This window comes from Homo sapiens, chromosome 3, assembly GCF_000001405.40.
Source record: "Homo sapiens chromosome 3, GRCh38.p14 Primary Assembly".
Classification (NCBI taxonomy): Eukaryota; Metazoa; Chordata; class Mammalia; order Primates; family Hominidae; genus Homo; species Homo sapiens.
Genome location: NC_000003.12, coordinates 139584140 through 139609036, shown reverse-complemented (window position 1 = coordinate 139609036; position 24897 = coordinate 139584140). Strand labels below are relative to the sequence as shown.

Genomic DNA, 24897 nt, shown 5'->3' with positions numbered 1-24897 from the left:
AATAATGCTGAGTGAAAAACACCAATCCTAAAAGGTTACATACTATGTGATTCAATATCTGTAACTTTCTTGAAATGATAAAATTGTGTAAGTAAGGAACATATCAGTGGTTAACAGGGATTAGAGATGGAGTTTGGGAGACAGGAGAGAAGTGGGTGTGGTTATAAAAGGGCAACACAAGGGTTCCTTATAGTGATGGAAGTGAAGCATTCTGTGCCTTGACTGTGGCGATGATTACATGAAAACTACAGATGGGATGAAATTTCACAGAACTACCACACAATCAAAGGACTGTATGGAAAATGAGTGAATTTTGAGTAAGATCAGTGGATGACATCTATCTGAATATCCTGGTTGTGACATTGTGGTATAATATTGCAAGATGTTACCATTGGGGGTAACTAGGTAAGGGGTACACGGGATAATTCTGTATTATTTCTACAACTATATGTAAATCTACATTTATCTCAGTTAAAAAAATACAAAAAGAAACAACATATTTGATTAATTAAATGTTAATTAAGCATGAAAGGGTGAACAGCGGAAGTGACACTGTCCTTCACTGGACTTCTTCCAGTGCCCAAGTTTTCAAATAGCCAATTCATCCTCAAAACAGTTGTGTGAAGTAAGTTTTAACATTCCTATTCTATAGGTACAAGGAAACTTGAGGACTGGAGGGGTAATAAGTTTTGCAAGTGTTTGTTAGGTAAAGCCCCAGTCTCAAAGAGTGCAAAGCCAGTGCCCTCATCCTTGGCAACTAGGGCGCCCCTTCTGAGCAGGCCATGCTGTCTCTGCTGCTGTCGCTGCTGCTATACCAGCCAGCCAAGCCCAACTCTTCACTTCCTGAGGAGGCAGCTCCAGGGTTAATATGCCAAGGCCAGTAACCATCTTTGTCTTCCAAATGGGAAGCGATGATCATTCAGAGTGGAGAACCAGCAGTTGGCTTCTTTGCTAAACAGACCATAAAGAGAAACCATGCAAAGAGCATTCAGAAAACCCAGGATGCCTCAGATAAAACAGAGTGAGGTAAAATTCCCAGCAGCACAAAGACATTAATTAAAGTGAATTGAATAGATGTGTCTGTATAAATATTCCTAAAGATGGGGTTGTCAAGACGGAGTTAGGCCTTGGGGAAATTTATGAGTTACTGATAATTATAGGGAAAATAAATCTTAAAAGGACAAAATCATTTAAGAATAGATTTTATAAACTAATGAAATTGGTGGCTTACAACGGGTAGATGGGAACAGAATAGAAAGAATGGGGAAATGGCAAAGGGGTAGAAGATAGGATGAGGGCAGAGAGACCCTTCTCTGAGTGTTCCTCTTTATATAGCTCTGACTATTGGAACAATGGGATCACATGCCAGAAAACTAAATATACAATGAAAGCCAATCAGGAGGCAAGGGGAACCCAAGATGAAATGCAAATAGTAACAAATGAGCCTGGCTCTATTACAAATGAATACATAGCCACACTGAGGGCAGTAGGAAAGAAAATAACCTCAGTAATATGGAAAGCAGCATTGTGATTGGATACTGCAAGGCTAAGGACAAGAAAAGGTGTACACAAGTCCTGTTCACTAGTTAGTAATTTGTTTTCCACAGGGGTGTGGATGAGCAATTTTGAAACTATTTTATGTAAGTACTAAGATTGAGTAAATGATTGTAGATAATGGAGCCAGGTTTCTTAAGTTGAAGAAAGGAATTATGAATAAAGGAGTGGAGGCTAAAATAAACTCTTTGGTGTTGTATTGGAATTGGAGGTTTCAGTATGAACAGTTTTCAATATGTATACAGATGGATAGTTTTAGAAATAAGTACAGAGTGGTGTGTGTACACATTTGAGGATAGATATAGATAGTTGCAGATATAATTAATATAATTATATATTTATATAAAATTTTCTAGCTTTGCCTTCTAAGAGGGCCTAGAAACCATGAAACCCCAGTAGCAATGAGTACAGCTAGTCCCCTTGGTTTCTAAATGCCATTCTTCAATAAAAGAAACCAGGGCTCCTTGGAGAAATGGTTGATTCCAGGGCTGGGGCAGGGAGCTTACAAGATAAGCCTGAACATCTTGCAGTTCTGAAAGCAAGGAAATGCTTAAATGATGGGAGAATGTAAAAAAGCCACAGGAGCCAACTTAAAGGAGCTTTCATTGGGCAAATCTGGGATAATTTGAGGAACAAAATACATAATGAGAAGGGATTACACCCCACAGAATAAAATAAGTACCCATGAATCCATATTGACAAAAATAAATGATTAGATGAATACAGAAATGCAGGAGAAAGGTCAATCCTTCCTTACGGTAGAATACTAATTAATATTGTAGAAAGAATGTCAGAAATAGAAAATAACTATTTTACAAACTAATTTAACAGTAATAATTGTTACAGAGCAGAATCATCAATGATGCTAAAATTAGTAGGTGAAATATGATGGGAATCAGGATATTTACATAATCTCAAAGTGTTTTCTTACAGGACACATATTATTTACAGATACGCAGGGGGAAATACTAACTTATGTGGAGAAATCTAGAATATACCACTCAACCAAGTATCAAAGTTAATATGACCAAAATGAAGACAAATCAACATCATGTACCCTCTGATGTAGGATGTATTGAGAAGAGCACAGCATCAGTTCTGAGGTATTCTTGCCTAAGGTGAATAAGCTTAATCTAATCATGAGAAAACACCAACCAAACTGAGGGATGTTCTACAAAATAACTGACCAGTGCTCTTTGTAAAAGCCCAGGTGCTGAAGACTGAGGAGCTGTCCTTGATTAGCAGAGACTGTAGATACAGGACAACTATGTGCAATGTGAGATCCTCGATTGAACTGTGGAACAATAGGGAAATAGAAATGATGTCTCTAGATCAGTGTTGAATTAATGTTAGTTTCCTGGTTCAGATCACTGTACCATGGTTATTTAAGTTATTAACATTAGTAGAAGCTGAATAAAGGATATATGGGAACTCTTTGTACTATCTTTAAAACACTCATAAGTCTAAAATTATTTAAAAATAAAATATGTAGAATTACAAAGGAAGACAATTTTCTTGAAGTCATTATCTAGATATTTAAGTAAATTTGTTACAGAAAAAAAAAAAAATCACATGAAGCCAAAATAATAGTAATGTTATATGTGCATGGCTCTTTAAATTTTACAAAAAGAATTTTACATTGTTATTTAATTGCCAAAACAATCCCATGAGGTTGGCATTATTGCCCCCTCCCCCATTTTAGGGACAAAGAATTTAAGAGATGCGTAGTATGGTAAAAACAAGCACCAAAAACATAAAAAAAAAACTTCAAAGCCAGGCAAATGGGCCTGCTTTCAAATCCAAGCACTACCATTTCCAGCTTGTGCCAAACCAATTAAGAAACTTTAGAGAAATTCTGGCAATTGGCTTTTGAGATTTTTGTGAGAATATAAACCCTGTAAACAGCACAGAGCCTGGCACATTCTGGGCACTTAAGAGAAAAGGAAGATGAGGATGAAGATGATGATGGTACTTTAGAGCTGAAAAGCATCTTTGAGTTCAGCCCAGAACTCCCCTGCTCCCAGCATAGAGTTGATCACCTCAAAAGCGGTTTTGGCCCCACTGTGGACATTGTGAAGTGGGTTTATACCCTCACAGATTAATTCTGTTTGAGGGAGCCCAACATAAAAAAAAATCTGTGCCTGTCCATATATGTAGAATATACATATGTTTGCATGTATTTGTATATTGAAAGAGTTAACAATAGGTGCATTCACAAACCAATAATTTCTAATATCAAGATGTCTAAGGAATGAATAAGGATGAGGAGGAAGGACTGGTGATCACCTGGTAGCACCCTTTGTGCCGCCCTCAGACTCATCGCTGATCTGCCTCCAGTGGGTCTTGCTATCGGTGGATGTGCTTGAAAAACTTTGCAGCAATTCGAACCTGAGATATTTTTTCTTGAGACGCACTAAGAACTTGAACACACCTGATAAGTTATGGGATAAGGATCAGGAGGGCTGGCATCGCCCCACCCAGTGCCCTGCATACTGCAGTTCCTCATTGCATACTTACTGGCATGAATTAATGAGGATTTTGCTGAGAGTGGTTGTTGCTCTGCCACCACATTCTGCACCACACTGCTTTGCACTTGTTGGTTTTTCGTGTCTTTTTTCCCCCCTTAGATTTCAGTGAACTTGCATTTCCTCTGGGACTAGGCTTAAAAATCAGCACATGAGATAAATTGCATATAATCAACAATATCCTTGAACATCCCTTAAATTACTTCATGCAAGATGATATATTTATACAACTGATGTACACACACTGCATCTGTGTGTAGACAATGTGCAGACAGTGTGTTAAAATGTAGAGTGTTGGTTAAGATCATGGGCCCTGGAACCAGACTACCTGGGTTTAGATCTTAGTCTTACAATTAATTAGCTTTGTAAGCTTAGGCTAATTATTTAACCTCTTCATGCCACAGTTTGTTCATTAGGAAAATGAGAATGACAGTCACACTCCTTTCATACAGGAGTTAAAAGGATTAAAGAGAGTATATGTAAAGCCTTTGGCACAATTCCTGAGACTCATATATGCCACTCTTTATTATTATTGTACATTTATATATGTGCAATATATACAGCAATGCATACATAAAATGTAATTTTAAAATAGCTCAGTTACATAAACTTGAGCATATAGTTGAGTAAATTAAACACTTGTCTGCTGTAATCCCCTCCCACCAACCTGAACATTCCTCAAAGCAGCAATAAAACTTAATTTTGTGCTGATTTTAAAGCCCCTCTAGTTGCTACGTGGCTTGCACCAGGGGCTGCTCCCTTACAACTAGCTGAAGCCCAGTGTCTACATTTATGAAGGCAGAAATGAATCTTCCAATGAGTTTAGCTGACATGCAGTCGTGTGTGACATCTTTGCCTCCTGTCATAGAGGTAATTGAGGGACCCCTACCTTGGATCAGAAGTCTTATTTAAACTAGACCTTAGACCTCAGGATTCTGCTATGATACCATGTCTGGTTCCACTTGATGGCTATTGGGATGCCATAGTAACTAGGGGAACATATGTGCAATTATATCTAGTGACCAACCTTTGAATATGACCTAGAATAATGAAACTATGCTTTCTATCTCTTCTTCTTTCTTCATCTGGATGTGGAAAGGACAGTGGCGACAGTGGGTGCAGTGGTGGTGGCTGCTTTAACAGCAGTAGTGGTGATGTTTGCACTAGTGGCAGTGGTGGTAGTACAGATCATGGCAGTAATGATGGCAGCAGCATTGGTTAGTTGGAGTGTGGTGGTAATGCTGTTAGTGATTATTGGCATAGCAATGAGGCATATTAGTGGCAGCGGTGGTAATATGGTGTTGGTCATAGTGACCGTGATGGCAGTTGTCTCGCTGGGCACGGTAGGATGGTAGTGGTGCTATTAATGTGATAGTGGTAGTGGGAATCATCGTGTTGGTCGATGCTGATCATGATTTGATGATGGTGGCACTGTTGGTGATGGTGAAGGAGATTGTGATTTCCGTAATTTAGGTCAGTGTTTTAACCTGAATTTCAGAAGCAGGAAGTTGATATTGGAGAAAATGCCCCCAAATATCTCATATACACCCCAAATTGTAAAATATTTTCCTAAGTCTGGGTAACATGGGCAAAGCATCCAAATGAAAGTAACCAATTCCCGTGATATAATTTGCTGATAGAGCTGACTGAGTATTTCACAAAGTGTGGTCCTGTGAACACTCATCCAGCAGAGGGATCCATAAAAACTAAACAAGCATGGGAAGCCCAGGGACTTCTGTCCCCTTCTTGGAGAATTACTGTGCACATTAAGGGCTCTCAAAGGATCCGCAATCTGCAGTAAAAGTCTGTTTCACTTTGTTTGCCCTCGTGTTTCCCAAACATATTTGATCACTTAACCCTTTTTCTTTGGGGAAGGTAGGTGCCTATCAATCATTAGGTAGAACAGTTAGAGAAACAATATAAACAACACTTGAAATAAAAAGAAAAATAAAACTTGAAAAAAGTTTCCCCACAGGGACTAATTTTCAGGTGCTTAGTGAGAATGGGCAACTTTAGGTTATTTTAAATGTCTTGTATTGCAAAGTGGAAAAGATCATCTTAAATTTACATGATCAGAATTGTGTACAAGGAATCCATTAGACATGTAAATTAAGAGTATTATTAGAAACAAACCTCAAAAATGAAATTGCATTAACTACATCAAACATTTACAATCTAAGAAACCCATATCCTTTTATTCTATACTTATAAAATTAGTAATTTGATCATTATAGAAAAGTAGCCCTTGTTTACGTTGGAGCCCAGTGCTAAGTTAATAAAATAACCTTGGATGACTGAAAGGAAGTGGTCTCTCTATAGCCAATGCCAATCTGTGGTTCTCCACTAGCACATAAGAATTGCCTGGGATGCTTGTGAATAATTAAAGTGCCTAAACCTCACTGCCAGTAAGCAGATTTGGTTACAATCTGGAATTTGCATTTTTGTCAATGACATCAATGCAGACTTCACTTTGAAAAATACCAGAAGGAACTGACATTAATATATTGTCTTCTATCCTGTTCATTCTACCCAATGTCAATTTTAGGAAAAAATCTTGTTTCAAGTTTCCTGTTCCTGTAGCAGTTTCAGGAGCAGCCCAGGCAAGGGAGGTTGACTGGTGGGCCAAGCAGGTCTCTTCCCTAATACAATGCTGTTAACCTCAAGGGCAGAGTCCACAGCTCCATCAGATGTGCTTAAAGAATTAAGAAAATGGCTTCCTGATTTCTACAGTGATTCCTTCCCATTTAGTGAGTAATCATTAGTCTTAACATGAATAATGCAAAAAAGGCAGCTAAGCAGTTTAAATTTTATCCATAAAATTAAGCCCTGTGTTTCACCACAGCATTTAACTCCATGACCTATTTTATTGAATCCCCCGCATATCTTGGACAGCTTCCTTGAGTGTAAATTACCATGAAGGTAAATTGAAAATGTATCAAGAAATGGGCAAGGATGTTAATGCAGAATCAAGGCATCATCGAGCTTCAGTTGTTATGAAGATTTTTTAAAGTATCTTTCCAATACAGTTAAAGTGAAAAGAATTGATTTGATTAACAAGGCTTTACCTTTCTTAGGTTACCATCTGCCTTCAACATTGTAGGTGATTCAGTTTCAATGTCCCATCCTCCAGAAAACGTGTTCCAACCTGTTCAGAGCTTCTTTCGGGCTCCTGACACTTCCCTCATGTGTTTCTGCCCAGCAGTGACTACCCATCTGGAGACTGTCCAACTCCCTTGGGACTTTATCCCCCACCCCCAACCCCATCCTGTGAGAGCAGGGCTCCCATCATATTTATTTCTGAATCCACATTGCTGGTACACTCTCTGGCTTGAAGTGTGTGCTAAACTGTCTGCTAAAGAATCAGTGTGTTCCCCTCTTGACTTAAAAGCAGGAAAGGAAATGTTATTTGTAGTGAAAACAAGGAGGCAGGTAGGGGAAAATTCAGATTCTACTGATATTTCTAGTGTGCTTTCCAACCGTGTATCTGCCCCTGAACTATCCCTATATTAGTCATTTGAGTCTTACGCCATGCCTCCGAAGTGTGTGGTATTATTTATTCTTATTGCACAAGTGAAGGGAATAGGGTATAGAGAGGTTAAGTAATTTGCCCCAGGTCACACAGCTCATAAGTAGCAGAGGCTCACACTTAGGTCTGTCTCTGCATGCTGGACCTCAAATTCCTGTTACTGCAAAGCCTGGCTTGAAAGGACAGTTGAAGTAACAGATTGCCCAGGCTCAGTTATTTGTTAATAGAGGACAGAGCTGCTTTGCCTAGATTCCACACATGGAGGATGTCCAGTGCAGTGTTGAGCAGCTTGCCTTCAGCAGGAGCAGACTTTATGCCCAGCCAGAACTGCCTGATTACAACCTGTCCTCACTGCCTGCTCCCTGGCTGCCTTTCTTCCTATGTGAGGTTCCTGCCAGGTCTGAGGATCCCAAAGAGAAGGTAATGAGTTTTTGAGGGGCCATGAGACCCTAGCATTTGGGAGTTCTGGTGAGTGCTTTTTAAAACCCACCTACTGCGAAAAGATTCTGGTCAGTGGGCAGAGAGACACAGCTGGGTGTTAAATGATGGGAGACAGAGGCTTGCAAAAAAGGAGATTCTAATGCTCCAAAAGCAGGCAGGACCCCAACGGAGCACCCCTTCCTCTGGAAGCTATGTAAGGGCTCAGACACACAGAAGGTGCTGCCAGCCAACCAGTGCCACATGTCTGAGACTCAGAGAGATGATTGCAGAGAAAGGAACAGGAAAAAGAAGAAACAAAAACATCCTTTCTGCCAGGTGTGGTGGCAGGCATCAATTTCAAAGGCCTCTTTGTGACTGGATTGAAAAAGCCAGGAGCAGGGAGAAGAATAGATCCAGGTGGCAGGCCTATAATCCCAGCACTTTGGGAAGCCAAGGTGGGTGGATCACCTGAGGTCAGGAGTTCGAGACCAGCCTGACCAACATGGTGAAATGCTGTCTCTCCTGAGAAATACAAAAAAAATAGCCAGCGTGGTGGTGGGTGCCTGTAATCCCAGCTACTCGGAAGGCTGAGGCAGGAGAATCCCTTGAACCCAGGAGGCAGAGGTTGCAGTGAGCCAAGATTGCGCCATTGCACTCTAGCCAGTGCTACAAGAGCAAAACTCCGTCTCAAAAAAAAAAAAAAAATCCTTTCTATCCAGGACCAAAGGGAAGTTTAAACCCTATGAAATATTGCTGCTTTGTTGTTTACTTTGCCAAATTCTTAAGAAGTTGCACACAAAGAAAGCAGGACATTTGGAAATAAAGAAAGAGAAACCTCATACTGACAAGCTCAGGCACTGAAAGATTCTGAAGACCAAAGTGGGCTTTATAGTGTGCAGGAAGAGTTTGCTGATTGAAAGGAAGACTCTTCACACACAAAGAAGTAAGAGAAATTGAAGCCAGACAGAAGAGCACATATTCCAAGGGCACTGAGGAGAGAGGGCAGATGATCACACTTCCAGTAATGGCCACCGTGGTCCCAGCTGGCCGACTGTGCTGCCAGAGGGCTAGGCTCCATTTTGGAGTAATGGGAAGACCTGGATCTATTCTTCTCCCTGCTCTTGGCTTCCTCAATCCAGTCACACAGAGGCCTTTGAAATTGATGGGCACTTCTGGCCAGCAGGACACAGGGCGGAGCAGTAAATAGGTGTTCTCAAATTCATTTGGATCACACAGTTGAAGAGCTCTCTGGAGAAACAAAAAAAGATGCAAAACATTAAATAAGCTTGAAGACTGATAAGGAAAATAAAGACAATGGTGCTAAAATGGCCTCAAAGTCTCAGTAGCCACAGCCAGATCATATTTTCCAAGCTTCACTTAGAGGCGAGGTTTAATCACAACAGTCTGTTTGTAAAGGCATGCATAACCATTTAGTTGAGATTCTGGTCTTTTTTATGTTTTTTCTTAACATGCTACATTACCCCAAGCTTCTTTGTTACTTGATTCTTAACACCACTTGTGACAGTTGCTCCTGATCTCTTAGATTTTTGTCTTTCAAGGCCTTTGTTTCCCAGGGTGCACTTCAGCCAACACAACCAAGGGAAGAAGAAAATGGGCAAAAGTGTGCATGAGGTGGTAGGGGCCAGACTGTGCTTGTGCCCACAGAAACACCAAGCTTCTCCCAGCAAAAGCCCCAGAACTGAAGTCTGCAAAAGGGAAGAGGCAAATTAGTAATCATTCTGTGCTACAGAGCAGCCACGTCTGAGCATTACCTAATGCTTTTCTCAATTGTTTTGACACATGTAGTTTTGTTTTAAATATGTATGGTAATTTTTAATAAAATGCTGATAAGTGTGCCAAGCCATTCTCTGTGGAAATAATGAAGTCTTTACAGTTTGGAATGCTATTAAGTCTTTGCTTCACGGTTTGTGAGGCTGCTAGCATTTTAAGCAGCAATAACATTTTATTGAGGCCCAGTCTTGCTGAGGGGGATGGTCAGCTCTAGAAGGGGCAGTTTTTCCATCACACCTTAGAGTGACCTGGTTTGGGGCTACACATAGATGGAGGTGGAGCTACTTAGTGGTACCCTTCTTAGCCCTGCCTGGCTTAGCTACTACCTCTCCAAAATTCACTGTCCATCATCAGTACAGTGCAGTAGAAAAAAAAATATGGGCAAACCTGGGTTTGAATCTCAAGCCTACCATTTTCAGGTAGTATAACCATGGGAAAAATCACATAAACTTTTTGAATCTCCATTCCTGTTCCAGTTATCAGTATATAACAAACCACCCCAAACTTACTGGTGTAAATTGACCATTCTGTTATGCTCATAGATTCAGTGGGTCAGGAATTTCACCAGAGCACAACTGGGTGGCTTGTCCCTGCTCCATGATACCTGGGGACTCAGCTGAGAAGTCTTGAAGACTGTGACCGAGTGGAGTCCCTGCAGTCATCCAGGGACTCTTCATTCATGTGTCTGGCAGTTGGTGCTGGGTGTTGGACATTGACTACAGCACATGCATGTGGCCACACTGTGGGGTCTTTCTGAGTAGGCTAGTTTGGGCGTTTTTTAGAACCCATTCATGGCAGCTGGGTTCTAAAACCAAGTGCCCCAAGACCATAAGATGTAAGTGCATGGCATTTTTATGACCTAACCTCAGAAGTCACAAAGTATCACTTCTGCCATTGAGTAAAGCAGTCACAAATACCTACCCCAGCCCCCTAGGAGGAACACAGACTTCACCTCTCAATGGAAGAGTGGCCAGGTTCTAGAAGAGCATGTAAACCAGGAGATGAGATGATCCTGTGGCCATGTTTTGAAAAGACCATCTGTCACAATTCTCTCCTCTAGTGAGCCTACCAGGCCAGAGAATGGAGGGAGTGATGATTGCCAAGCACAAGCTAAGTGCCATGAGCTGTTCATCTGTTATCTAATTCTATTTATTTAAGTCTTAAAATAGTATCCACACTTTTTTGTTTGTTTTCAGATAAGACATTATATTGGTCAGCTTCAGCTGCATAAAAACTACAAATTATCAACGGCATACAAGAATAAGCAGTTTATTTCTTGATCACAGATCTTGAGTCAGCTGAGACAGATGTGTTCCTCCTCTCCTATTCTGAGGTTTAAGAGAGTTAGCAGAGGAAGTGGCTGCCTTATGTATTCTTCTCATGTAGATAGCACAGGCAGAGGATTGCAAGCCCCACCAAGCAAGCAAGCTTTAAGTTTCTGTTTATGTCCCATCTGCTACTATCCCATTGGTCAAAGCAAGTCTCATAGCCAATTCCAAAGTCAAGGGGCAGGGAAATACATTCTGGCCTTTGTGAGGCTGTGGCAGAGATGTGGGTGTATAATACTATAATGGCAGAGTGAGGAATTGGGAGCAATAATTCAATCTACCATAGCTATTTTCTAGCACAAAGAAAATTGAATAAGGATATTGTGGCGTTACAGCTAGTGTTTAACAATATAATCTTAGGTGCAAAATACCCATATAAAGTAGTAGGTTATCAAATTGCTAATAAAAGAATAATTCAACAAGACCAGGTAGCATTTATCCTAGGTATTCAAGGACAATATACCATAAAGATATCTATTAATATACCACATTACTAAGACAATATATTTTTATGAAACTTAAATCATCATCTCAATACACACTTGAGTCATTCAATAAAATCCAGCACCTACTTGGGGATTTTTTTTATGCTCTCAGTAAATTAGAACTGTAAGGATCCTTCCTTAGCATGATGCATAATGGCATAACACTTCAAAAGCATCCCCACAGAAGCAAGGGAATAGAAAAGAATGCCTACTCACCACCATTATTTTCCAATGGTATCAGTCAAAAATAAGAAATATAGTTATAGAAAGGAGATTCAGTTTTCATTACTTGCAGGTGGTGTTACTGTGTCCTTAGAAAGTCCAGGAGAAGCATTTGAAAAACTATTAGAACTAATAAGTTCAGTAAGGTAGCCCAGATTCAAAATAAACCAATCAAAGTATGGGATTTCCTATATAATGGTTGTAATGCAATGTAATAAAAATATATATATATATATATATATATATATATATATATATATATATATATACACACATGACAAAAATATAGTGGAAAAAAGATCCCATTCACAAGATGAACAGCCAAGGACATTTGTTACTAGGACTAACCTGAACCATATACATGAAGGGCACCAAGGGCAGCAGGCAGCAGCTCGGCCTGCTCTGAGGCTGGACTAAATGGAAACATGACCAGCTCCTCACAAAAACAGTCATTTATTGATTGGCTTTCCGGTGAAAATGCCAATGGGTGGATATTTTTCTTTATTTGTTAACTTGAGAAAAGTATCCAGAGGCTCTCCCAGAAGACTAACCAGGTGCTCAGAAAGCTTTCAGAGATATCAAAAGGTAATTGTTTTTGAAAGTGATTAAATGAGTGTGATACTGACTCCAGACAGCATAATGGAACATGACTCTATATAAAAAGATAATATAAGGTAAAAACAAAAAATAAGTGGGAGTCAGGGAGGTTATTTAGTAAAAGAAAACAACATAGTCACTTAAGTATTTGGAAGGGAAAAAAAAGCAGTTTGATTTCCTACCACATATATTTCACTTAGTAAAATACTAAACATAAAACCTAAATGTGGAGAATTCCCTGTCAATGGCTGTTTCCTTTGACCTGCACCTACCTCCTGGAACTACACAGGCAGTATATTTCCAGGGGTAGAGAAAAAAATTATGGTAGGCCTAAATGTTGCCTTTATCCTTTCTCCGTGAGCAAAGTAATTAAACAGAACCTCCCCAGGCTCTGACAGGGCCACCCAGCAGCCCATAAGGGACAGATAGACCTTTCTGGAAAAGGCTGACTCGTCAGAGAAAAACCATAGGTCATACGAAAAGGGACTGCAGTTCCAAAGTAGGGACCAGGTGGCAGATTCAGGGCAAGTGGCTCTCCATTTAAGAATATAAAATTTTGTAGGTTGCCTGTTCAGTCTGATGGTAGTTTCTTTTGCTGTGCAGAAGCTTTTTAATTTAATTAGATCCCATTTGTCAATTTTGGCTTTTGTTGCCATTGCTTTTGGTGTTTTGGACATGAAGTCCTTGCCCATGCCTATGTCCTGAATGGTAATGCCTAGGTTTTCTTCTAGGGTTTTTATGGTTTTAGCTCTAACGTTTAACTCTTTAATCCATCTTGAATTGATATTTGTATAAGGTGTAAGGAAGGGATCCAGTTTCAGCTTTCTACATATGGCTAGCCAGTTTTCCCAGCACCATTTATTAAATAGGGAATCCTTTCCCCATTGCTTGTTTTTCTCAGGTTTGTCAAAGATCAGATAGTTGTAGATATGCGGCGTTATTTCTGAGGGCTCTCTTCCGTTCCATTGATCTATATCTCTGTTTTGGTACCAGTACCATGCTGTTTTGGTTACTGTAGCCTTATAGTATAGTTTGAAGTCAGGTAGCATGATGCCTCCAGATTTCTTCTTTTGGCTTAGGATTGACTTCGCAATGCGGGCTCTTTTTTGGTTCCATATGAACTTTAAAGTAGTTTTTCCAATTCTGTGAAGAAAGTCATTGGTAGCTTGATGGGGATGGCATTGAATCTGTAAATTACCTTGGGCAGTATGGCCATTTTCGCGATATTGATTCTTCCTACCCATGAGCATGGAATGTTCTTCCATTTGTTTGTATCCTCTTTCATTTCCTTGAGCAGTGGTTTGTAGTTCTCCTTGAAGAGGTCCTTCACATCCCTTGTAAGTTGGATTCCTAGGTATTTTATTCTCTTTGAAGCAATTGTGAATGGGAATTCACTCATGATTTGGCTCTCTGTTTGTCTGTTGCTGGTGTATAAGAATGCTTGTTATTTTTGTACATTGATTTTGTATCCTGAGACTTGCTGAAGTTGTTTATCAGCTTAAGGAGATTTTGGGCTGAAACAATGGGGTTTTCTAGATACACAATCATGTCGTCTGCAAACAGGGACAATTTGACTTCCTCTTTTCCTAATTGAATACCCTTTATTTCCTTCTCCTGCCTAATTGCCCTGGCCAGAACTTCCAACACTATGTTGAATAGGAGTGGTGAGAGAGGGCATCCCTGTCTTGTGCCCGTTTTCAAAGGAAATGCTTCCAGTTTTTGCCCATTCAGTATGATATCGGCTGTGGGTTTGTCATAGATAGCTCTTATTATTTTGAGATACGTCTCATCAATACCTAATTTATTGAGAGTTTTTAGCATGAAGGGTTGTTGAATTTTTCAAAGGCCTTTTCTGCATCTATTGAGATAATCATGTGGTTTTTGTCTTTGGTTCTGTTTATATGCTGGATTACATTTACTGATTTGCGTATATTGAACCAGTCTTGCATCCCAGGGATGAAGCCCACTTGATCATGGTGGATAAGCTTTTTGATGTGCTGCTGGATTCGGTTTGCCAGTATTTTATTGAGGATTTTTGCATCAATGTTCATCAAGGATACTGGTCTAAAATTCTCTTTTTTTGTTGTGTCTCTGTCAGGCTTTGGTATCAGGATGATGCTGGCCTCATAAACTGAGTTAGGGAGGATTCCCTCTTTTTCTATTGATTGGAATAGTTTCAGAAGGAATGGTACGAGTTCCTCCTTGTACCTCTGGTAGAATTCAGGTGTGAATCCATCAGGTCCTGGACTCTTTTCGGTTGGTAAGCTATTGATTATTGCCACATTTTCAGCTCCTGTTATTGGTCTATTCAGAGATTCAACTTCTTCCTTGTTTAGTCTTGGGAGAGTGTATGTGTCGAGGAATTTATCCATTTCTTCTAGATTTTCTAGTTTATTTGCATAGAGTTGTTTGTAGTATTCTCTGATGGTAGTTTGTATTTCTGTAGGATCGGTGGTGATATCCCCTTTATCATTTTTTATTGCGTCTATTTGATTATTCTCTCTTTTTTTCTTTATTAGTCTTGCTAGTGATCTATCAATTTTGTTGATCTTTTCAAAAAACCAGCTCCTGGATTCGTTAATTTTTTGAAGGGTTTTTTGTGTCTCTATTTCCTTCAGTTCTGCTCTGATTTTAGTTATTTCTTGCCTTCTGCTAGCTTTTGAATGTGTTTGCTCTTGCTTTTCTAGTTCTTTTAATTGTGATGTTAGGGTGTCAATTTTGGATCTTTCCTGCTTTCTCTTGTGGGCATTTAGTGCTATAAATTTCCCTCTACACACTGCTTTGAATGTGTCCCAGAGATTCTGGTATGTTGTGTCTTTGTTCTCATTGGTTTCAAAGAACATCTTTATTTCTGCCTTCATTTCGTTATGTACCCAGTAGTCATTCAGGAGCAGGTTGTTCAGTTTCCATGTAGTTGAGCGGTTTTGAGTGAGATTCTTAATCCTGAGTTCTAGTTTGATTGCACTGTGGTCTGAGAGATAGTTTGTTATAATTTCTGTTATTTTACATTTGCTGAGGAGTGCTTTACTTCCAACTATGTGGTCAATGTTGGAATAGGTGGGGTGTGGTGCTGAAAAAAATGTATATTCTGTTGATTTGGGGTAGAGACTTCTGTAGATGTCTATTAGGTCCGCTTGGTGCAGAGCTGAGTTCAATTCCTGGGTATCCTTGTTAACTTTCTGTCTCGTTGATCTGTCTAATGTTGACAGTGGGGTGTTAAAGTCTCCCATTATTATTGTGTGGGAGTCTAAGTCTCTTTGTAGGTCACTAAGGACTTTATGAATCTGGGTGCTCCTGTATTGGGTGCATACATATTTAGGATAGTTAGCTCTTCTTGTTGATCCCTTTACCATGATGTAATGGCCTTCTTTGTCTCTTTTGATCTTTGTTGGTTTAAAGTCTGTTTTGTCAGAGACTAGGATTGCAACCCCTGCCTTTTTTTGTTTTCCATTTGCTTGGTAGATCTTCCTCCATCCTTTTATTTTGAGCCTATGTGTGTCTCTGCACATGAGATGGGTTTCCTGAATACAGCACATTGATGGGTCTTGACTCTTTATCCAATTTGCCAGTCTGTGTCTTTTAATTGGAGCATTTAGTCCATTTACATTTAAAGTTAATATTGTTATGTGTGAATTTGATCCTGTCATTATGATGTTAGCTGGTTATTTTGCTCGTTAGTTGATGCAGTTTCCTCCTAGTCTCAATGGTCTTTATATTTTGGCATGATTTTGCAGTGGCTGGTACCCGTTGTTCCTTTCCATGTTTAGTGCTTCCTTCAGGAGCTCTTTTAGGGCAGGCCTGGTAGTGACAAAATCTCTCAGCATTTGCTTGTCTGTAAAGGATTTTATTTCTCCTTCACTTATGAAGCTTAGTTTGGCTGGATATGAAATTCTGGGTTGAAAATTCTTTTCTTTAAGAATGTTGAATATTGGCCCCCACTCTCTTCTGGCTTGTAGAGTTTCTGCTGAGAGATCTGCTGTTAGTCTGATGGGCTTCCCTTTGAGGGTAACCCAACCTTTCTCTCTGGCTGCCCTTAACATTTTTTCCTTCATTTCAACTTTGGTGAATCTGACAATTATGTGTCTTGGAGTTGCTCTTCTCGAGGAGTATCTTTGTGGAGTTCTCTGTATTTCCTGAATTTGAATGTTGGCCTGCCTTGCTAGATTGGGGAAGTTCTCCTGGATAATATCCTGCAGAGTGTTTTCCAACTTGGTTCCATTCTCCCCGTCACTTTCAGGTACACCAATCAGACGTAGATTTGGTCTTTTCACATAGTCCCATATTTCTTGGACACTTTGCTCATTTCTTTTTATTCTTTTTTCTCTAAACTTCCCTTCTCACTTCATTTCATTCATTTCATCTTCCATCGCTGATACCCTTTCTTCCACTTGATCGCATCGGCTCCTGAGGCTTCTGCATTCTTCACATAGTTCTCGAGCCTTGGTTTTCAGCTCCATCAGCTCCTTTAAGCACTTCTCTGTATTGGTTAGTCTAGTTATACATTCTTCTAAATTTTTTTCAAAGTTTTCAACTTCTTTGCCTTTGGTTTGAATTTCCTCCCGTAGCTTGGAGTAATTTGATTGTCTGAAGCCTTCTTCTCTCAGCTCGTCAAAGTCATTCTCCATCCAGCTTTGTTCCATTGCTGGTGAGGAACTGCGTTCCTTTGGAGGAGGAGAGGCGCTCTGATTTTTAGAGTTTCCAGTTTTTCTGCTCTGTTTTTTCCCCATCTTTGTGGTTTTATCTACTTTTGGTCTTTGATGATGGTGAAGTACAGATGGGTTTTTGGTGTGGATGTCCTTTCTGTTTGTTAGTTTTCCTTCTAACAGACAGGACCCTCAGCTGCAGGTCTGTTGGAGTACCCGGCCTTGTGAGGTGTCAGTCTGCCCCTGCTGGGGGGTGCCTCCCAGTTAGGCTGCTCGGGGGTCAGGGGTCAGGGACCCACTTAAGGAGGCAGTCTGCCCGTTCTCAGATCTCCAGCTGCGTGGTGGGAGAACCACTGCTCTCTTCAAAGCTGTCAGACAGGGACATTTAAGTCTGCAGAGGTTACTGCTGTCTTTTTGTTTGTCTGTACCCTGCCCCCAGAGGTGGAGCCTACAGAGGCAGGCAGGCCTCCTTGAGCTGTGGTGGGCTCCACCCAGTTCGAGCTTCCCGGCTGCTTTGTTTACCTAAGCAAGCCTGGGCAATGGCGGGCGCCCCTTCCCGAGCCTCGTTGCCGCCTTGCAGTTTGATCTCAGACTGCTGTGCTAGCAATCAGCGCGATTCCGTGGGCGTAGGACCCTCTGAGCCAGGTGTGGGATATAGTCTCGTCGTGCGCCGTTTCTTAAGCCGGTCTGAAAAGCGCAATATTCGGGTGGGAGTGACCCGATTTTCCAGGTGCGTCCGTCACCCCTTTCTTTGACTCGGAAAGGGAACTCCCTGACCCCTTGCGCTTCCCAGGTGAGGCAATGCCTCGCCCTGCTTCGGCTCGCGCACGGTGCGCACACACACTGGCCTGCGCCCACTGTCTGGCACTCCCTAGTGAGATGAACCCGGTACCTCAGATGGAAATGCAGAAATCACCCGTCTTCTGTGTCGCTCTCACTGGGAGCTGTAGACCGGAGCTGTTCCTATTCGGCCATCTTGGCTCCTCCTCTGAGTAAATTCTTTTTTTATATATTTTTAATCTATATCATTATGCAGCTATTAAAAGTGATGTTTTCAAGAGTGCTAATGACCAAGAAAAACCCTTATGATATAATCTAAATAAAGAAGAATTAAAAGTGAATTTACGTGGTTTGAAGAAAAGTATAAAAAAATACAAAATGAACTATAATATAAACCATATTAACATCTTAGATACGTTTTATTAACTTTTTATCCTTCACACTTTTCAGTAGACTGTAATATTTCTACAGCACGCATTAATTTTTAAGCTTATTTTATATATCATATTTATAAATTTATTAGATAATAAAAGTTGTTACTCTAAGGCTTATAGTGTTATTTGTTCCATCCTCATTTCTGATTCCTGGTTCCCAGAGCAATCACTTATGACTCTTTCAGATGTTTTCTCTGGTACTTGACTCCCCATTTCTAAATAACAAGCTTATACTGTTATATCTTGTTTTTTCAGATTTAGATAATATATCTTGGCTTCCTTCAGGAAAAATGAAGATTTCACTCTCTCACACCTCCACCCTCCCATTCACACCTCGCCTCCACCACATGCTCCCAAATTGATTAGCTCATAACTTTGGGTTTGATTCATATTATTGTTCACATTTATGTCTATGTAAATAGTGTCAAGAAAACCATGCAGTGCACTATGATTCCACTGCCTCCCATATAAACTTTGGGTTTTTTCCTAGAGTTAGTAATTGTTCATGTATTTGTTGCCTTAGTTTCCTATGCCTATCATTAATTCAGTCCCAATTTTACCAAAAGATCTCTAAAACTCTTCTTAGTACAGACAAATTCATCAGATGATCTGTCTGTTCCGTTTTGTGTCTGCCCATATCCCTCCTGAAGCCCTCCAGGTCCTAGCTGGACATCCAGCTCTCTGTACCCACTATACTGTCATCCTGGGATTGCCTTTCACTGTCTCCCTGGGGATTCTCTGTGCCTGTTTCCTGATTCAAAACCCCTGTTTCTTGGATCCCATGCCTTCTGCTTTTGGGTTTACTCTCTTATTTGGGTGGTGGAGTTCGTCTTCTGGCATCTTTGTGAGAAAGGGTATAGAGGAGGTAAATTTTCTGAGACCTAGCATGTATGAACACAACTTCATGCCATACTTCAGAGGGCAGTAAACTACAGCCCATGGGCCAAATCTGATCCATAGCCTATTTTCATTCATGTTGTGAGCTATGGGATGGTTTGCTTACATTTTTTAAATGGCTTTTAAAATTATGCAACAAAGCTTGTATGTGGCCCATAAAAACTGTATGTGGCCTGCAAAGCCTAAACTATTTACTATCTGTCCAATAATGGAAAAAGCCTGCTGACACCTGTTCTAATTGATTGGTAGTTTGGCCAAATGTAGAATTAAGGTTGGAAATGATTTTCCTTTAACATTTTGAAGACTTCACTCCACTGTCTCCTGGATTCAAGACTTGCTGTTGAGAAATCCAATGCTATCCTGCTTTCCAGTTCTGTATGTTAAACCTCTGGTTTTCTCTTTTGAAACTTTCAGGACCTTCTCTTTAAACCTACTCATCTAAAATCTTATAATGTTTTGCCATTGTGTGAATCTTCTTTTATGCCAAATGTTGATTCTCAGAGGACCATTGATTCTGAAAATGTATGTCCTTCTAGTCTGGGAAAATAGAATGTCTTATTTATTTGATAATTTCTTCTGTTTTCCTGTTCTCTTTCAGAAATTTCTATTAGTTCACTGTGTACCTCCTATATTAAACCTCTAGTCTTTTCTTCTATTTTACAATTCCTGCATACAATTCCTGCAAATCCTGCATACAATTTCTGCATTGCCTTTGTATCCTCCAAGTTCCTTTGCTCCTGGTGGCTGTTTTAGTCTCTGTCTTTCATGGTGAGCACCTTTCCAAAATTTGTCTCTTCCTAGACTGTCCACTCATGTTTGCAGATCAGGCCCTAAATGCAGGCTAGAAGCTCTGGATGTGAATGTAAAGCTGATAGACCTCATGGTTATATGGTCAGGCCCTAGGTTCAAGACCCCCAAATGTGTGTAGGTGTTGGTGTCTTTTCCTAGGTAGGTCTGTTCCCCAGAGAGACATTCTGGGAAACATACTTAATCCTTCTGTCTTAAAGATGTTACTTCCCCTCCCTCAGCTGTGCCTATATTTGAGAATAAAGGTTCTCTCTGGTCCAACCCAGGCAGAAAGTAGATATGCGCCCTTCTGCCACAATGGGAGGATAACGTAGGCGATTAGAGGCTGGGGTGGATCCAAGGACTCTTCATACAAACTCTCAACTGGCCCTCCTGTTTTCAGGCCCTCTGGCACCCCCACCTGGAGAGGTTCTTGGCTCCTCCGATTCCTGAGCCACTCTGGGCCTCTGCTACTGCACAGCTTGCCTCTTACTGCCTTCCCTGCATGCAGAAGACTCTGCTTGGTTTATTATCAATTTTTATCAGCTCTCCAGTGTCCAAAATGTTTTGCATTTTCCCAACTATTGTCTCCTTTTGCACTCTCTTTGCCCTTATGATTTCATACTTTATTTATTCCTTTATTATCATTTTCTTAGTTTTCAGAGAGGGTAGAGATAAACAAGGAATTCTGTCTGTAGGGATGGTATATCTTCATTCTAACTAATGTGCTCGTCGTGTTACCCAGAACGAAAAGACAAGTTCACGTCCTTAAGGAGCGCTCAGTGTCATGGGAAAGGCACAGGCAGATGAATCATTTTCATACAGGTGCTGTAATGGAGATGTGTCTGAGCAGCAGAGGGTCACAGGAGAAGTATCTGCATCTAGTGGGGGAGGGCCTGAGAGGGTCACTGGGATTGTGACCTAGAGCAGTGGGGAAGGGAAAAGGCTTGGACTTATGACCATTTGGAGGGCAAGAAGGAGTTTTAGATCAAATTGTTATTTTTATTGACTCTCCTCTCCTGGGTGCTATAAAAAAGCATTGATTTCTCAATGCAGGGCCTGTCCTATCAAGATGAGCTAAACCATCACAGGTGACACCTGGGTATCCAACATGCCCAGCAGAGCTGCCTGGAGAGAGCCCTGTCCTTCCACCATTTTCTTCTATAAAACAGAAATTAATGTGAAGGTTAAATGTATGTAAATTGCTCAAGAAAGTCAGCACCCAGCAGGAGTTAGTCCTCCCAACCCCCATTTCTTTTAAACAGGAAGAGAAAAAGAAGGAGCATGTATGTCCCATGTATAACATGAGCTCAGATGCGCAGAAAGATAACTTACTTTGCTTTCTATAACATTCAACTTGATCTTAAGCCACCATTTCCATGAATTGTGAAAAAATATGTCACTTCAAGGGATTCCTGAAGTGGTAAACTTTTTAATTTTCAGCTTAGTCTTTTACAGGTTAGTTATTAATCAAGTGCATTTTTTCCTGCCTACCTCCCCAAGAGTGCATTAAGCATCCTGGATGGCTTAGCATCCTGGCTTCCAAAACAGGGCAGCTGCCCTCACTACTTTCTAGCCGAGGGATCTGTCCTTAATCTTAGGCACTGGCATCTATCCACTCTCGCTCCACTATTGAAGCCTCCTCAGCTTCTCTTGTCTCAGGCATTATATCCCTGTTGTCTGGACCTGTGCCTTGGCTCCCCATGGTACTGTCAATGCCATAGTCCCTGGCTTTGGACTGTACTCCCTATACCCTGTATCTACCCGCTAGTAGCCCAGGCACCTGCTGACTGCTAATTCTCAGCCTCCTTCACTATTCCTCTCAAGGAGACTTAGAATTGCTGTGGATCTGTGCCATACCTTGCCAAAGCTGAAGGAGGCTGTTCTGAAGCTCTCTCTGCTATACACGCCACATGCCATTTCTATTCTGTCAGTGCCGTTGTGTATTGGCACAGGGCAATGCAAGGTGGTCTTCCAGAATTCCAGATGGGAAGCAAAATATAAACTCCACTGCTCTAACATTGTCAGATTTAACTGGGCATCTTAACTATGCCCTCCCAAACCCCAATACAAATTAGGTTTATCTCTGCAGGGTATGAGAGTATAGGGAGCAGGCCTAATACCTGTCTAAACTGTCACCACAGACATTGTCTATCAGGCTTTTCTCTGCCCTTCTGCCCATTCTTCCACCTCACCTCACCCTCAGGCCAAAAAGGGCCTTTTGTTTTCATTTTCACTTTCTTTTCTTTTTACTGCTCTGTGGGCTTTAGTGAAACTGTGCACTCTGATTCCCCGGGTTTTCTGGTTCTTGATTATTTTAAGAGTAACTTTTGGAACTTAAATAAACCTTTTCTCTCTCAATATAGCCTGGCTCTTTTAAATGAAAGCTTTAACCTTCACAAGCATTACCTCTGAAATGAGTTTCAAGAGCCAGTTGTGGGAGTCAAAAACTGAATATGACCTCCTTGCTCTCAGCTGGGTTCTGCCATCCCCTTGAAGGAGGGGGTACCTCAGCCCTCAGGAAGGAGAGCCTGGGCCTGCCAGGATTACCATGGAAGGAAAATGCTTCCAGTTTCCAGGGGGGCAGCCTACACTCTTAGGATCAACTTTTCCATTAAAACAACAAAAAGTGGTGGGTAGCACGTTTTCCACACTTCACCTTTTTTAAACTTTTATTTTGGGTTCGAGGGTACATGTGAAGGTTTGTTATGTAGATAAACTCATGTCTCAGGGGTCTATTGCACAGATTATTTCATCACCCAGGTATTAAGCTTGGTGCCCATTAGTTATTTTCTCTGCTTCTCTCACTCTCCACCCTCCACCCTCAAGTAGACCCCAGTGTGTATTGGTCCCTTCTTTGTGATCATGAGTTCTCATCATTAGCTTCCACTTAGAAGTGAGAACATGCGGTATTGGTTTTCTGTTCTGCTTCTCTTTAGCAAACTTCACTATTAAAGCTAAAAAGCTGAGAGATAAACACCTGGAACCAGAGAGGTTAGCAGGCTATGGGAGCACCAGAGCCACTGGTGCCCTGTTGAGCACTTGCCAGAACGGCTCACTTAAGCTTTGAATCAGCAGCCATGCAAGTCGGGAAGAACAGAATTCAGAGACTGGATCCCTTCCAAGCTGAGAAGCCTCAGAGTTGACTTCCCCTACATTCAGCTGAACCCACAAGGAGCTATACCCTCCGGGGTAAGGTAAACTAGATCTTAATTCACCTTTTCCCCCTAATCCTAGAGAACTTCTGAGAAGCCTTAGTGCTTTAGTGCTGAGGCAAAAGAGGAAAAGTGAAAGAATAAAATATCCCTAGGAAGAAGCAGCCACACATGAGTCCTTGCTCAGATTTGAAACTCCCATCCTGGATTAGCCAAAAAAACTCAAGCCAGGAATTTGATTTCAGGTTATTCATGAGTTTTAGGTGCCTGGCAAAAGCAAATATGAAGTGTCTCTGGAATATCTATCTTAGATCTGGAGGATCTTTCACAAATAACTGCTCAGGAGCATTCACCAGAAAACATTGAAAAATAACTAGGCACAAAAGAAAACAATATGACTAAGAACTATCAGAAAAAACAGACAACAGAAATAACCTGTACAGACTTTGAAACTGGCATTGTATGATACAGATTTTAAAAGTAGTATTTATATCTAAAGAAAAAAGAAACTATAGAAAGTCACCAGATTTGATGAAAAACTCATCAGAATTTCTAGAAATTATGACCAAAATAAACAAAATTAAAAGTTCATTGAAAGCTCATTAAATGTGTGCACACCAAAAACAGGATCCCAAAATACATGGAGTAGAAACTGATAGAGCTGAAAGGCAAAATAGACAAATTCGCAATTATAGGTAGAGATTTCAACACCCCACAATTGCCAATTACTACTGCTAGACAGAACTACTGGACAGAAAATCAGCAAGGATATAGAAATAAAGACACTCAACAACAGCATCAAATTGATGTGTAACAGAACTCTCCATCATCCAACAACAGCAGAATATATATTTTTTTCAAGCACCTATGGAATATTCACTAAGATAGGTCATATTCTGAGCTATAAAACAATCCTGAAAATGTATGAAACAAAAGTTGAAAGTACTAAAAAGAAAAACGGAAAATCCACAATCATAGTGAGAGATTTTAACATGCCTCTGTTTATAACTAATAAAAGAGGCAGACAAAAAAATCAGAACATAGATTTAAGCAAAACAATTAGTAATCTTGACTGAATGGACAGAACATTACATTTGACAACCATAGAATATGCATTCTTTTTAAGCACACGTAGGACATTTACCAAAACTCACCATATACTAGGACATCAAATATCAACACATTTCACAAGATTGAATCAATATAGAGTATATTCTCTGACTGCAGTGCAACTAAGCTAGAAATCAATAACAAAAGATAACCAAAAATCACAATATGTTTGGTAATTAAGAAAAATACTTCTAAATAAGTCATGGATCAAAACAGACATCATAATGGAAATTAGAAAATGCTTTGAACTGAATGATCATGAAAACACTACATATCAAAATTTGTGGGATTGTTTAGAGGGCAATTTTATAGCCTGAACTGTATATAGTAGGAAATAAGGATGTGAGGGTGATCTGGCTGAGACATCTGTCACCCCACTGATTGCCAGAGTTGATTCGGCTGATCTGGCTGCCTAGACGGGTTCCCCTTCCTCCCTCACCGCTCCATGTGCATCCCTCCCAAAGCTGCGTGCTCGGCTGAAGAGGATGACCATCCCCGATAGAGGAGGACCGGTCTTCAGTCAAGGGTATACAAGTAGCTGCACTCCTCTGCTAGAACCTCCAAACAAGTTCTCAAGGAAAGAAGGCAGACTGCAAATTAATTAGTTAGGCATACATCACAAGAAGTTAGAAAAAGAATAGCAA

General features: G+C 40.6%; 1 protein-coding gene and 1 pseudogene across 23 annotated transcripts in view, besides 2 other annotated features; both read left to right on the top strand.

The window, feature by feature from the left end:
* NMNAT3 (nicotinamide nucleotide adenylyltransferase 3) overlaps nt 1-24897 on the top strand; it is a 117871-nt gene that overhangs the window by 69014 nt on the left and 23960 nt on the right.
* Nucleotides 677-1196: an enhancer, noted in NCBI's record as "OCT4-NANOG hESC enhancer chr3:139326683-139327202 (GRCh37/hg19 assembly coordinates)". NCBI's record gives its function as "activates a minimal SCP1, AML or CMV promoter by ChIP-STARR-seq in naive H9 embryonic stem cells {active_cell/tissue: H9 hESC(naive)}" and the evidence as "EXISTENCE:reporter gene assay evidence [ECO:0000049][PMID:30033119]".
* Nucleotides 22113-22502: an enhancer, noted in NCBI's record as "active region_20615". NCBI's record gives its function as "activates an Ori minimal core promoter by ATAC-STARR-seq in GM12878 lymphoblastoid cells {active_cell/tissue: GM12878}" and the evidence as "EXISTENCE:reporter gene assay evidence [ECO:0000049][PMID:35858748]".
* Nucleotides 24592-24831, top strand: RN7SKP124 (RN7SK pseudogene 124; annotated as a pseudogene).